The sequence below is a fragment of the Homo sapiens genome, chromosome 11 (assembly GCF_000001405.40).
Source record: "Homo sapiens chromosome 11, GRCh38.p14 Primary Assembly".
Taxonomy (NCBI): domain Eukaryota; kingdom Metazoa; phylum Chordata; class Mammalia; order Primates; family Hominidae; genus Homo; species Homo sapiens.
The window spans coordinates 50,100,550-50,116,514 of NC_000011.10; the positions used below are offsets into that span (position 1 = coordinate 50,100,550).

At 41.5% G+C, this 15,965-nt stretch overlaps 1 pseudogene; it reads right to left on the bottom strand.

The window, feature by feature from the left end:
• On the bottom strand, window positions 343-2,349 carry GTF2IP11 (general transcription factor IIi pseudogene 11; annotated as a pseudogene).

Genomic DNA, 15,965 nt, shown 5'->3' on the forward strand with positions numbered 1-15,965 from the left:
CTGCTGTTTAAACTACCCCCAAACTTTCTTTCCTTAAAAGAACAGAAAAAACAAAGAGGGCAAAAGATCAAGAAACATTCCATGTCATCCTCTGCACTCTTATTTGTTGTAATAAAGGAAAAGCATTTTAGGGATTTTCTTGAGTGCAGTTTATGATGTGATCCAAGTTATTTATTTTCTGTTAATGATTTGGAAAATTTTAATTAAAAACATTCAAAAATTTAGCTTTACCAAAGGTAGCTGTTCACATGTAAAACTAGTTTGGTTAACTTCATCTGTATAAACACATAGCTAGTAAACTGACATAACTATTAAACTGGAGAATCAACAGAAACATGCCAAGGACTGGCCCTTACCTTCCACAGTGACCTCAATTTCAGGAATCTTTTAATTACTCTCAGGGCTTCATCATCTTTTTGGGGACTGAAAGTTGTAAAATGAGCACAGAATTACCTTAATATATTGTAGGAAAAAAATACAGAAGAAGATGCTTTATAAGAGTATTAACATTCATACAGTTTGACTCTTTTCAAACAAACCTGCAGAATTAAACTTGTAGTGGAATCCTCCACAGGTGGCTCAAAAAAGCCATGGAAACATGAATAAAGTGGGATTGCAAATGTGACATTTCCAATCAAATGCTGTTTTTTTTTTTAAAAAAAAAAAAAAAAGAAAAAGAGGTCCATTAAATAAAATACCTTAAAAAGCCAAAAAACTAACTGCAAGTCCCACAAAGATATTGGCCAATGATTCTGTATGATTTAAAAAATGCTGATAAAGTATGTCTTAATGCAGTGAAATATCATAGGAAGTACATGTAATCTCTTACCTTTAGTGTTTATTTTACTAGCCATTACAGGAGGCAAGTAGGAAATAATTAGTTCAAGTCAAGAAAGAAAACCAAAAAAATGTTACAGTAGCCAGTACAATAGTGGTCTCACAGCTAGTAAAACAGTTGTGATATGATGAGGGATTTTTCCAAAAGGAGTTCACAGGGTCACCCTGCAATGTGACAATAATTCCTATTATTGTGGACAAAAACCCTGATTTTTCCTTCCCATGACTGGTAAGTAATTATATGAAGAGTAAATTACTTCATGAAAAAGAAAATTAACACTAGTGTACTTTCTTCAGCCACTAAAATTCTGCAGAAACGTAGATATAGTAAGAAACTCAATCATCACATCAGGCCCAGTGTGGTGGCTCACACCTGTAATCCCAGCACATTGAAAGGCCGAGGTGGTTGGGTTACCTAAGTTCAGGAGTTTGAGACCAGCCTGACTAACTTGGTGAAACCCTGTCTCTACTAAAAACACAAAAATTAGCCAGGCATGGTGGTGCATGCCTGTGATCCCAGCTACTCAGGAGGCTGAGGCAGGAGAATCGCTTGAACCCGGGAGGCAGAGGTTGCAGTGAGTGGAGATTGTGCCATTGGACTCTAGCCTGGGCAACAAGGGTGAAACTCTGTCTCAAAAAAACAAAAAAAGAAAAGAAACTCAATCATCAATATTTAATCACTCACAAGATTGACCCAGGAATAACAGAGTAGATAAAACCCAGCAAATTAAACTACATTCAAGTACTTAGGCCTACTGTGAGCCAACATAGTGCCTCTCAACACTGTGGAGGCGGTGGTCACTATTCTTGCACTGATGAAGACGGCTAAGTACAGGATGGGAGACTGCAGGGGCTATGGAGAGTGCCAGGACTGCAGTTCAGAGCCAGGCTTTTTCATCAAGGACTTACAGCCAAGCCTGTCACCTCTAGCTAGAAAAACATTTTAGTAGAAATGTCATTTTACTGTTTTAATTCCAGAAATGACTACAGTGGCAAATAGAACTTACTTTTTTGTTGTTGTTGTTGTTGCTGTTGAGGCAGAGTCTCACTCTGTTGCCCAGGCTGGAGTGCAGTGCTGTGATCTCAGTTCATAGCAGCCTCTGCTTCCCAGCTTCAAGTGATTCTCCTGCTTCAGCCTCCTGAGTAGCTGGGTTTACAGGTGCCAGCCATGATGCCCAGCTAATTTTTTATATTTTTAGTAGAGACGGGGTTTCACCATGTTGGCCAGGCTGGTCTTGAACTCCTGACCTCAGGTGATCTGCCCTCCTCAGCCTCCCAAAGTGCTGGGATTACAGGTGTGAGCCACCATGCCCAGCTTAGAACTTACTTTTTAACAACAAACTTCATTTTATTACTCCCACGGATGATACCTTCAAGTCATGGAATTCCAAAGCAGGTAGGGCTTCGAAAGGGAATCCCCTCTGGCAAGCCTTCTACACATAGGAACTCGGGGTTTGATTGAAACACAGAATATGGTACTTTTACTGCCTCAATGAGTCCAAGAGCTTGAGCTGAAAGTGGAAGAGAAGACAATTTGTGGAAGATAAAATTTGACACAGACATTCTTTTATTTGTATCTGCATTCTCAAGTACATTATGGACAAGTTCCCTACAATTGAGCAATATCCACTTCATATTGAAGGCATTTCACTTAGGTTACTGGGCAAATCTGAAGAACAAGCCTAAAGTACTTTTAAAAGAAACATTTAACACTTTTTTTTTTCAGCTGGAGTCTTGCTCTGTCACCCAGGTTGGAGTGGAGTGCAGTGGCTTGATCTCACCTCACTGCAATCTCCACCTCCAGCCTCAGCTTCCCAAGTAGCTGGAACTACAGGCACACACCACCACACCCAGCTAATTTTTTTCTATTTTTAGTAGAGAGGGGGTTTTACTATGTTAGTTAGCCAGGTTGGTCTCTATCTCCTGACCTTGTGATCTGCCCACCTTGGCCTCCCAAAGTGCTGGGATTACAGGCATGAACCACTGCACCCAGCCCATTTTAACACTTTCAATCAAAAGGAGAGTTATGTTATTAATCAAAATGACCTCTGTGTTCTAAGGAGAAACTACCAAAGGCCATTCCATACAGCAGTGGCCCCTGGTAGCCTTTGCATTCTCATCAAGAGGCAGGGTAGCTGTTCGAAGACAGGTGGTTTCTATGATGCAACTAAGCAGCGCTCAGTAAGTTCGAGTCATCAGATGCAGAGTAGTCAGGATTTCTGATAAGGGATAGGAAACATCAACACCAGGTATCGAGATAGTGGACAGAAATGCCCTGGGAATGCTATGAGTGCTCCCCACTCTTTGCTCCTTTCTCCATGACAGACACGCCCAATCAACTGAAACACACTTTCTTGCTGAGCCTCCTCAGAATCATTCAAGACAGCATTCCAGGAAACTGCTGTCAACAAATCTAAGTATTTGCCACACGGGTGTCAGCCAGATTAGAAATACAGACAGTGGAATGACATCCCAATGCCTCCCTTCCTCTCCCATTCTGACACATGAGAAAGCCGAATCCAAGAGAAATGAAGTTGTCTGCTTGGTTTCAATAGCAAGCGTAGTAGTAGAAATACACCAAAGCCTGGCTTTTGGGACCTTCTTTTTAGGTCCTGAAATTCTATAATTCATTCAGATATGACCCTTCATTGATATGTTATTAAAGACATACTGTAGGGGAAGGGACTATGAGTCCCTTCATGTTCATATGAAAGAGTGAGACTTTTGTCTCCAAAAAATAAAAAATACAAAAATGTTTCAATTAAAAAAAAGGTGTGATGGTCTTTGGCAATGTTTAAATAGAAATAAGAGTATCCCTTTCAAATAAACTGACACTTTCTGAACATGTAATAACCAGGGTCACAGAATCACAGAGGCCAGTGAGATTAAAAAGTTCCCCTGTGAATGCCAGTGACACATACACCACCAGGAAAATGTCCTGTTCCTGTCCCTCCAACTAATCCACAGCAATATAATGTCAGCAAGTGCCTCCCCTACTTCCAGGCAGCCACAGGGAAAGTGGAGAGAAAAGAAACCATTCCCTGTGTCACTGATAAGTGAGGCTCAATGGGAAACACAAGGCATGAGGGGCATCCAAAGGTGGGTGACAATTTCAGTGTCTCCCCTTTGTCTTCCTGCTTCAGGTATCATCTGCATCTTCTGCTCATTTCATGATAAGGAAGGAGGCAGCAATAGCATGTCTGCTGTGAAAATGTGGGACTACTCATTGGGCATCATGGAACTTAATGTAGAAGTTTATACAATCCTGGGAAGCTTTCAGACTTGGTCTCCTAACATGTACATATAAGTTTTCTAAGGCTCTTGACCAGGCAGTAGACTGTGAACTGCCAGGGGTTCACACAGGTTTTCTAGGGTCTTCACACCGCTAACCACAGTTATGGTAACTCCTTCATTTCCTTTTTAAACAAATGTTTTCCCAATTATCCCTTTAAAATTGGGCAGTTCAGGCTGGGCACGGTGGCTCACCCCTGTAATCCCAGCACTTTGGGAGGCCAAGACGGTTGTACCACTTGAGGTCAGGAGTTTGAGACCAGCCCAGGCAACATGGTAAAACCCTGTCTCTATTAAAAAACACAATAATTAGCTGAGCATGGTGGTGGACACCTGTAATCCCAGCTGCTCGGGAGGCTGAGGCACAAAAATCCCTTGAGCCCAGGAGGCAGAAGTTTCAGTGAGCCGAGATTGTGCCACTGTGTTCCAGCCTGGGCAACAGAGCAAGGCTCCATCTCAAAAAAGAAATCGGGTGGTTTCGGGCCTCTGATATAGCAAGTGAGTGTGCATAATGATTAGTGGCAATGAGCTAATAAACATTAACTAGGCCATGGTGGTTTTTTAAAATCATGATTGGCTGGGAGAGGTGGCTCACACCTGAAATCCCAGCACTTTGCGAGGCAGAGGTGGGCGGATCAAGAAGTCAGGAGATCGAGACCAGCCAGGCCAACATGGTGAAATCTCATCTCTACTAGAAATACAAAATTAGCCGGGTATGATGGTGAGCGCCTGTAATCCCAGCTACCCGGGAGGCTGAAGCAGGAGAATGGCTGGAATCTGTAAGGCACAGGTTGCAGTGATCTGAGATCACACCACTGCACTAGAGCCTGGGCGACAGAGCGAGACTCTGTCTCAAAAAAAAGAGGAAAAACTGATAAAACAGGTGCCCCCCTAAAATTTGAACGTTATATGCAAGACTGGGTTAAAATATGTTTAAAACACATCTAAAAAATGTATGACCGGTAATCTCAGCACTTTGGGAGGCTGAGGCGGGCAGATCACGAGGTCAGGAGATCAAGACCATCCCGGCTAACACGGTGAAATCCCGTCTCTACTAAAAAATACAAAAAATTAGCCAGGCGTGGGGGAGGGCGCCTGTAGTCCCAGCTACTCTGGAGGCTGAGGCAGGAGAATGGCATGAACCTGGGAGGCAGAGCTTGCAGTGAGCAAAGATCGCTCCACTGCACTCCAGCCTGGGTGACAGAGTGAGACTCCATCTCAAAAAAAAAAAAAAAAAAGTATGAACAGCATAGGTGTGATAATATGCTAAAAAAATCTATGAGGGGAGTGGACAATCAAGACAGTGGTCCTCCTTCCCTGCTGCCTTTACAGTTTGATTTCATCCTTGGCTTTTCATAATGGACATTTGTAAAGAGGGGAGATTTGCATCCAGGTCTAGGATTACAAGTATAGGTTTTTGTTTTTTTGTTTGTTGAGATAGAGTCTCACTCTATCACCCAGGCTGGAATGTAGTGGTGCAATCTTGGCTCACTGTAACCTCTGCCTCCTGGGCTTAAGCAATTCTCCTGCCTCAGCCTTCAAAGCAGCTGAGATTACAGGTGCCCACAACCATGCCCAGCTAATTTATGTATTTTTTGAAGAGATGGGGTTTCACCATGTTAGCCAGGGTAGTCTTGAACCCCTGACCTCAAGTGGTCCACCTCCCTCGGCCTCCAAAAGTGCTGGGATTATAAGCAAGAGCCACTGTGCCCCACCTGGGTACAACTATTTTAAGACCACTTTCAGCACAAGTGCTATTTTTGTTTAATTTTTCAGATGGAGTCTCACTCTGTCACCCAGGCTGGAATGCAACGGTACAATCTCGGCTCAATGCGACCTCTGCCTCCCAGGTTCAAGTGATTCTCCTGCCTCAGCCTCCTGAGCAGTTGGAACTACAGGCACCTGCCATGACGCCTGGCTAATTTTTTGTATTTTTAGTAGATACTGGGTTTCATCATGTTAGCCAGGCTGGTCTCAAACTCCTGACCTCAGGCGATCCACCTGCCTTAGCCTCCCAAAATGCTAGGATTACAGGCATGAGCCACCGCGCCTGGCCACAAGTGCTTTTTTATTAAATACTTCTGTGGTTCCCCTTCCCCATACAAAAAGGAAAAAAAAAAACAAAAAGGAAAGGGGAAGCTATTGTTCAGGGCCAGTAAGGGGTTTATCTAGCTTTGTGGCATAAAAGAACCCATAATACTTAGTAAATTTAATAATATTTAATAAATTTATTAATATTTAACAGCATTTAATACATTTATTAATATTTAACAATACTTAATGGATTTGATAAATTTATTAATATTTAACATTACTTAATAAAATTAATCCATTGTCTAGCCCTTGCATCTGAGAATTATTGCTGTAACAAAACACCAAGGACAACTAGGCCCTCCTACCTCCCTGTAGCCTCAACTAGATAAATGCAAACATGTTGGCTCATGCCTGTAATCCCAGCACTTTGTTAGTTTTTTTTTGTTTTTTGTTTTTTTTGAGCTGGAGTCTCCCTCTGTCACTCAGGCTGGAGTGCAGTGGTGTGATCCCGGCTCACTGCAACCTCTGCCTCCTGGGTTCAAGTGATTTACCTGCCTTAACCTCCTGAGTAGCTGGGACTACAGGAGTATGCCACCACGCCTGGCTCATTTTTTGTATTTTTAGTAGAGAAGAGGTTTCACTGTGTTGTCCAGGCTGGTGTCGAGCTCCTGAGCTCAGGCGATCTGCCTGTCTCAGCCTCCCAAAGTGCTGGTATTACAGGCTCACCATGCCCAGCAATCCCAGCACTTTGGAAAGCCAAGATAAGATCTGTTGAGCCCAGGAATTTGAGAGTAGCCTGGGCAACATAGGGAAACACCGTCTCTACAAAAATTAAAATACTAGCTGGGCTTGGTGGCATGTACCCGCAATCCCACCTACTTGGGAGGCTGAGGTGGGAGGATCACTGGAGCCTAGAAGGTTGAGGCTGCAGTGATCTATGATTGTGCCATTGCACTCCAGCCCAGACAACAGGATGAGACCTTATCTCTTAAAAAATAAAAAGATAAATGCAAACGTGAATCACCTACAGAGTTAAAAGGCCACAAATGTTCCAATGTTAGCAGGGAGCCTAGGAGGGAAGAAGCCTCCACAGCTGCCCCAGTCAACCCAACTAAGAGAAAGAGGTTGGCGGCCAGAGAAATAGGTAAGGCAAGCCTTCATTTGAGCCCATCAGCTTCTGCAGAAAAAATATTCCATGGTCATGGGATGACCTGACGGACTGATGCAAACTGTCCACACAGCTAGTTTATCTTTGCCTCCTCTCTAGATCCAAAATGTACTGGAAACGAATGCCATATGAGATCTATCCCTGCCCTCCTTTTCACACACCCTTTCTAGGAGAGCCCACACAAGCTGATGACCCTAGAATTCTGGTTAACATAAATCTAGATATCATGCTAGATAGAGCTCTGTCTTTCCAACTATCTTTTAGACATCTTTACCTGGATGTCCTGAGCATCCTATGTCCAAAGATTAATTCCTTCTCCCCAACAACATATGTTCTTTGTTTCTCCACTTTCCCTGTCTCAGTTAATTACACTGCCATGCACCAAGATACCTGAGCCAGAAACCTGAAGGGCATCCTCCAGTCCTCCTTCTGCCCACCTCCTGTTTCTATTCACTGTGTCAGCAATAAGCTGTCCTGATATTTTACCTCCTAAATATCTCTTAAAACCTCACTTCCCCTTCATATTCACTGGCACCCCCTATTCAGCATCTCATCACTCAATAAACAATATTTAATGAGTATAAAGCATAGCTAGGTGTTTTAAAAGAGAATAAAAACAGTGTGATCTTTGTTTTCTAGTGGCTTAACATCTAGTTACTTTTTTCTTTTTTTTTTTTTTCTGAGATGGAGTCTTGCTCTGTTGCCCAGGCTGGAGTACAGTGGCGTGATCTCAGTTCACTGCAACTTTTGCCTTCCAGATTCAAGCAATTCTCCTGCCTCAGCAAGTAGCTGGGATTACAGGTGCCCACCACCACACCCAGCTAATTTTTCTATTTTTAGTAGAAATGGGATTTTACCATGTTGACCAGGCTGGTCTTAAACTTCTGACCTTGTGATCCACCAACCTTAGCCTCCCAAAGTGCTAGGATTACAAGCATGAGCCATGGTACCAAGCCAACATCTAGTTATTTCTTATCTGAACTATTCAGCTGTACTCTTGCCTCTTACCATTCATTCCCTAAACAATACCCAGAGTGTCTCCTCCTCAAAACTTAAATTAGATCATTTAATTCAGGGGTCAGTAAACTTTTTCTATAAAAACAAGACAGTGAATATTTTAGGTTTCTGGGTCATATGTTTCTGTTGAAACTACTCAACTCTGCTCTTGTAACATTAAAAACAGCCCTGGACAATATGTAAACCCATGGGTGAGACTGTGTTCCAATATGGTTTATTCATTAAAATAGGCAGCAGGACAGATTAGACCCATGGGCCGTAGTTTGCCAACCCCTGATTTAATTGCAATGCTTCTTACTCCATTGGATTTAATCCAGATTCCTTTCCATGGCCTAGAAGGTGCTCCATCCTCATCTGAATATTACTTGCTCCTCTAGGCTCCACTATGCTCCAGCCACCCTGACCAGCTTTATGGTGCTTAAACACTATGTCAAGTCTGTTTACATCTCAGGTCGCTGCACTTGACATTCTACCCAGCAGGACCAGACCAGATCTTGACCAGATCTTCTTCAAGCTGCCTCAGCTCAAATGTCAGAGAGGTCTTCACTGCCCACCCCAATAGGTCAGTACCCATTCCAATGCCCAAACATTCTAACTCCCATAGCTCTATTTATTTTCTTCAAATTACTTATCACCATCTGAAAAAAATATCATTTGTTGCATGTATATAGCCTGCTTCCCCACCACCACACCACCACAAGAATGGAACCTCCCCGAGAATAGAGACTGAGTTACTCATTCTCCCCTAGTTCCCAGGACCTAGATATGTGCCTGGCACTTAGCAGGGGCTCAAAAAATATCTGTTATCTGAACTGTTATTGCCCCTAGTTTCACTCCCTTCAACTCACTGGTATCTTCACTACCACTAGTCATCTTTCAAAAATACAAATGGGGCCAAATACAATGGCTCACACCTGTAATTGCAGCACATTGGGAGCCTAAGGCAGGAGGATCTCCTGAATCTAGGAGGGTGAGGCTGCAGTGAGCCATGATCATGCCACTGCAGTCTAGCATAGGAAACAGAGTAAAACCCTGTCTCAAAAAAAAAAAAAAAAAAATTACCATTGTGTGGTGGTACACACCTGTAGTCCCTGCTACTTGAGTGGCTGAGGCAAGAGGATCACTGAGCCCAAGAGTCTGAGGTTACAGTGAGCTATGATTGTGACACTGCATTCATGCCTGGGCAACAGAACAAGACTCTGTCTCAAAAAAAGAGAAAAAAGTGGGCTGGGAGTGGTAGCTCATGCCTGTAATCCCAACACTTTAGGAGGCCGAGGCAGGTGGATCACCTGACATCAGGAGTTGAGACCAGACTGGCCAATATAGGGAAACCCCATCTCTACCAAACATACAAAAATTAGCTAAATATGGTGGTACATGCCTGTAGTCCCAAGTACTTCAGAGGCTGAGGCAGGAGAATCACTTGAACTCAGGAGGCAGAGATTGCAGTGAGCCGAGATTGTGTCACTATACTCCAGCCTGGGAGCCTGGGTGGCAGATTGAGACTCCATCTGAAAAGAAAAATAAAAGAAAAAGTAAAATACAAATGAATCATTGAATCATGTCACTCTCCTGCTTAAAATATTTTGATGGCTCCCCACTGGCTTTAAGATACAAATGCAAATTAAGTGGCAAGATCACTACAGCTCTTATCACACCTTCCCACACTCTTCCAGTGGTAGACTGAGGTCTAAGTGGCAAGGACCAACTCCTGTTTATCTTTTGATCTCAGGTGGTCAGCACAGTACCAGGAACACTGTTGGTATTCCATGAATGGAGAATGAAATCATTCAACAGTAGTACAACAACTACCACAAAGCAGAAATCTAATGCAATAACTCAGTAAGTAACCATTTTAAAGGCAATGAAGCAAGGTTTTGCACAACACTCTTTGTTTTCTTTTCTTTTTTTTTCCCGAGACACAGTCTTGCTCTGTCACCCAGGCTGGAGTGCAGTGGTGTGATCTCAGCTCACTGAAATTTCCACCTCCTGGGTTCAAGCAATTCTGCTGCCTCAGTCTCCCGAGTAGCTGGGATTACAGGCACGCACCACCATACGGGCTAATTTTTGTATTTTTAGTAGAGACAAGATTTCACCATGTTGGCCAGGCTGGTTTTGAACTCCTGACCTGGTGATCTGCCTGCCTCAGCCTCCCAAAGTTCTGGGATTACAGGCGTAAGCTACTGCACCCAGCCTCTTTCTTTTCTTTGGAAGTTACTTTTGTGGGGGCTATGCTTATAACTATGAATCTGACTTTGGATTTTGCCACGAAGATTTTACCTGGCAGGCAGCCACTTACAACTTTCTATAAGAATGAAGGGAGGAGGCAGGAAGATAAGTCATACAAATCTATCATGCTGTTTCTTGTGATTGGCTCTGGTAAAAGGGTTAGGAAAAGAGACATAACACGCAGGCTAAAATGCAACTTAGGGATTCTCCATAGATTCCAAGTGTCTACATTCTCCTTGTCACCTATTAGCAAAGAAAACCCAATGCTGGCTGGTTTGCTGTATAAAATAATCTAAGAGATTCACGGAATTTGCTCAGGATGATTTCACCAATAGAATGGAAATTGTTCCTTCTAGAAGAATTTCCATTAGCCCTTTGAAATCCTTCAACATTCATTAAAGCCAAAGAGTTTTCACCTAATTTAATCTGATGGGTATGTGACCAGAGTCCTTCTAGGGAATACAGACTCCCAGACTATTCAGCTGGAAAGTGAGGAGGGAATTTACTACTCAAAATCAAAGGGAAATAAAAAGAGGCCAACCTAGAATGTCATTATTCTTGCTTGGTGAGGAGGGGAATGGATTCCAGAGTTATTCCATGACATTTACATGACCTCCTTATTAGCATCTAAAAGCTTCCAGTGCTGGATGCAGCCAGCTACAATCTCTTCTAATGTAATAAAATCTGCTTCAGTGAAGCTTAGGCAGAGCCATCCCCAGAATCCAGAAATAATAGGCTATAAATTACTGGATCTCCCATTTGATATCATGAAGTATAAGCACAGTCCTGTGTGACCATTAACCTAAGCCCAGGTAGGACCTTGTTTACTAGAGTATTAGGCATGGGTTGGGGCAACGATTCTAACCAGATAAATTGGCTCCAGTGAGGGCAGGTTTGCAATCCAAGGCACGGCATGCATAGGGCTGGTGAAATTCAGGGTGATTGAAGCAAAAGCTTCAGAACAAGACCACATCTGCGGGTAGAGCAGAAAACTCTCAAGAGATGAATCTTTTTAAGAGTGAGGCAGAGCTACATAGTAGTTTTAGGAGATCAGTTCGTTCCCAGCAAGAGCTCCATACTGGCTATAAGCAGGGATGCATGCTGTAGTCTCAGGAGGGGAGGTTCACAAAAGTAATTCAGACCAAGAGCCCAAACTGTATTCTCTACTAAAAGGAATCAAGGCTTCCTACAGAAATGGCTGACTTCTTGTATGGTGCAGTATATAGATCATGGAACATCTTTTATGCCAGAAAGCAATGAAGCCATCAAAGTCCAACAAGATCACGTCAAAAAGACATGAGAGACAACTTGAAGAGATAATTATTTACCTAGATGAGACAAGGTATGCATCCAAAACAATTAATAAATAATAACTGCAATGGTCTAAAATATATCAAATGCAAACAATAATCTATGAATTCACAATGATATTCAGGAAAAAAAAAAAACTATTGGTCACTAGAGTAGAGGTTACTAGGTCACTAACTCCTTATTCTGAAAAGTGACTTAAAATGGGAGGTAGGGTGGAGAATTCAGTATGTATCCAGTTTTTCCTCTACAAACAAATTTTTAGGGAGATTGAATAAGATGAAATAAATCTGGCAAAATGGAGATAACTGCTTAATCTGGGGGTTGGATACATGGAGGTTCATCATATTTCTTTTGTGTATATTTGAACCCCCTCCAAAAAAAGCACAAGACAGAATGTGAGCTAAGCAGCTTAGGTTCACTCCTGTAATCCCAGCATTTTGGGAGGCCAAGACAGGTGGATCACCCAAGGTCAGGAGATCAAGACTAGCCTGGTCAACATGGTAAAACCCTGACTTTACTAAAAATACAAAAAAAAAAAAAAAATCAGCCAGGCATGGTGCTGCATGCCTGGAATCTCAGCTCCTCGGCAGGCTGAGGCAGAATCGATTGAACCCGGGAGGCAGAGGTTGCAGTGAGCTGAGATCGCACCACTGCACTCCAGCCTGGGCAACAAGGGTGAAACTCCAGTTTTAACTCTGTCAGATGAATCCACACATCACCAAGCAGTTTCACAGATGGCTTCTTTCTAGTTTTTATCCAAGGCTATTCTGTTTTACCCCATAGGACACAAAGGGCTCCCAAATGTCCCTTTGCAGATTCTACAAAAATAGTATTTCCAACCTGCTGAATCAAAATAAAGGTTTACCTCTGTGAGTTGAATCCACATATCACAAGGCAGTTTCACATAGCATTTTTTTTAGTTTTTATCTGAGGATATTCGTTTTTTTCCCTTAAGCATCAATGGGTTCCCAAAAGTCCCTTTGCAGATTCTTCAATAAGAGTGTTTCTAACCTGCCAAGTCAAGACAAAGTTTTAACTCTGTTAGATGAATCCACACATCACCAAGCAGTTTCACAGATAGCTTCTATCTATTTTTTATCTGGGGATATTCATTTTTTTACCCATAGGCCTTAATGGGATACTAAATATTCTTCTGCATATTCTTCATAAAGAGTGTTTCCAAAATGCTGAATCAAAAGGAAGTTTTAACTCTATGAGGTGAATCCACACTCACCAAGCAGTTTCACAGACAGCTTCTTTCCAATTTTTATCTGGGGATAATTGGTTTCTCCCCATAGACCTCAATAAGCTCTGAAATGCCCCTTTGCAGATTCTATTAAAAGAGTGTTTCCAACCTGCTAAATCAAAACAAAGGTTTAACTCTGTGAGGTGAATCCACACATCATCCAACAGTTTCACAGATAGCTTCTTTTTAATTTTTATTTTGAGATATTCAGTTATTCCCCATAGGCATCAATGTGCTCCCAAATGTCCCTTTGAAGATACTACAAAAACAGTGCTTACCACCTGCTGAATAAAAAGAAAGGTTTAACTATTGAGTTGAATCCACGCATCACCAAGCAGTTTCACAGATAGCTCCTTTCTAGTTTTTATCTCAGGATATTCAGATTATTCTTAATGCTTCAATGGGCTCCGAAATGTTCCTTCGCAGATTCTACAAAGAGAGTGTTTTCAACCTGGTTAATCAAAGGAAAGTTTTAACTCTGTTAGATAAATCCACACATCACAAATCAGTTTCACAGATAGCTTCATTCAAGTTTCTATCTGGGGATATTTGATTTTTTCCCACAGGCATCAATGGACTCCAAAATGTCCCTTCACAGATTCTACAAAAAAATATTTCCAAACTGCTGAGTCAAAAGGAAGTTTTAACTCTGTGACATGAATCCACACATCACCTAGCAGTTTCACAGATAGCTTCCTTCTAGTTTTTATCTGGGGATATTTGGTTTTTTTTTTCCATAAGCATGAATGGGCTCCCAAATGTTCCTTCACAAATTCTACAAAAAGAGTGTTTTCAACCTAGTGAACCAAAGGAAAGGTTAAACTCTGTGAGATGAATCCACACATCACCAAGGAGTTTCACATATAGCTTCTTTCTAGTGTTTATCTGCAGATATTCGGTTTTTCACTATAGGCCTCAATTGGCTCCCAAATGTTTCTTCACATATTCTACAAAGAGAGTGTTTCCAACCTGCTAAATCAAAAGGAAGGTTTAACTCTGTTAATGAATCCACACATCACAAAGCTGTTTCACAGATAGCTTCTTTCTATTTTTTATCTCAGGATATTCGGTTTTTCCTTGTAGGATTCAATGGGCTTTAAAATGTCACTTCACTTATGCTACAAAAAGAGTGTTTCCAACCTGCTTAATCAAAAGAAAGGCTTAACTTTGTGAGATAAATCCACACATCACAAAGCAGCTTCACATAGGGCTTCTTTCTAGTTTTTAGCTGGGCATTTTCCATTTTTCCCCATAGGCCTCAATGGGTTCCCAAATGTCTCTTCGCAGATCCTACAAAATGTCTGTTACCAACCTGCTGAATCAAAAGAAAGGTTTAATTATGTGAGATGAATCCACACATCACAAAGCAGTTTCACAGATAACTTCTTTCCAATTTTTATTTTGGGATATTTGGTTTTTCTCCATAGGCCTAAATTGTCCCCCAAATCCCTTTCAGAGATTCTACAAAAAAAAGTGCCTACAATCTTCTGAATCAAAATAAAGGTATAACTCTGTGAGATGAAATGACAAATCACAAAGCACTTTCACAGATAGCTTTTTTTCTAGTTTTTATCTGGGGCATTCAGTTTTTCCCCATAAGCCTCGTCAGGCTCCTAAAAATCCCTTCACACAATCTACAAAAAGAGTGTTCCCAATCTACTAATCAATAGAAAGTTTTAACTCTGTGTGATGAATCCACTCATTGCTAAGCAGTTTCACAGATAACTTCTTTCTTGTTTTTATCTGAAAATATTCAGTTTTTCCTCATAGGTTTTGATGGGTTTTGAAAATTTCCTTCTCAGATTTTACAAAAAGAGTGTTTCCAACTTGCTTAATAAAAAGTAAAGTTTAACACTTTGAGATGGATCCACACATCACAAAGCAGTATCACACATAGCTTCTTTCTAGTTTTTATACGGGATAATCGTTTTTTCCCCATAGGCTTCAATGGAATCCCAAATATCCCTTTACAGAATCTACAAAAAGAGTGTTTCCAACCTGTTGAATCAAAATAAAGGTTTAACTCTGTGGGCTGAATCCACATATCACCAAGCAGTTTCACAGATAGCTTCTTTCTACTTTTTATCTGGGCCTATTCGGTTTTTCCCTGTAGGTTTCAATGGGCTCCCAAATGACCCTTCACAGATTCTACAAAAAGAATGTTTCCACGCTGCTGAGTAAAAAGAAGGATGTAATTCTGTGAGGTGAATCCACAAGTCACCCAGCAGTTTTACAGATAGCTTCCTTCTAGTTTTTATCTGGGGACATTTGGGTTTTTCCCATAGGTCTCAATGGGCTCCCAAATGCCATTTTGCAAATTCTACAAAAAAACTGTTTCCAATCTGCCGAATTCAAAGAAAAGTTTAACTCTCTAAGATTAATCCACACACCAAAAAGCAGTTTCACTAATAGCTTCATTATAGCTTTTATCTGGGAATATTCAGTTTTTTTCCATTGGACACAATGAACTCCCAAATGTACCTTCACAGATTCTACAAAAAGAGTGTTCCAACCTGCTAAATCAAAAGAAAGATTTAACTCTGTGAGATGTATCCACACATCACCAAGTAGTTTCACAGATTTCTCCCTTCTAGTTTTTACCTGGGGATATTTGGTTTTTCCCCATGGGTCAAAATGGCCTCCCAAATGTCTCCTCACAGATTCTACAAAACGAGTGTTTCCAACCTGCTGAAACAAAAGGAAGGATTAACTCTGTGAGAGGAATGCACACGCCACAAAGGAGCTTCACATATAGTTTCTTTCTACTTTTATCTGAGGATATTCATTTTTTCCCGACAGGCCTTGACAAGCTCTGAAATGTCTCTTTGCAGA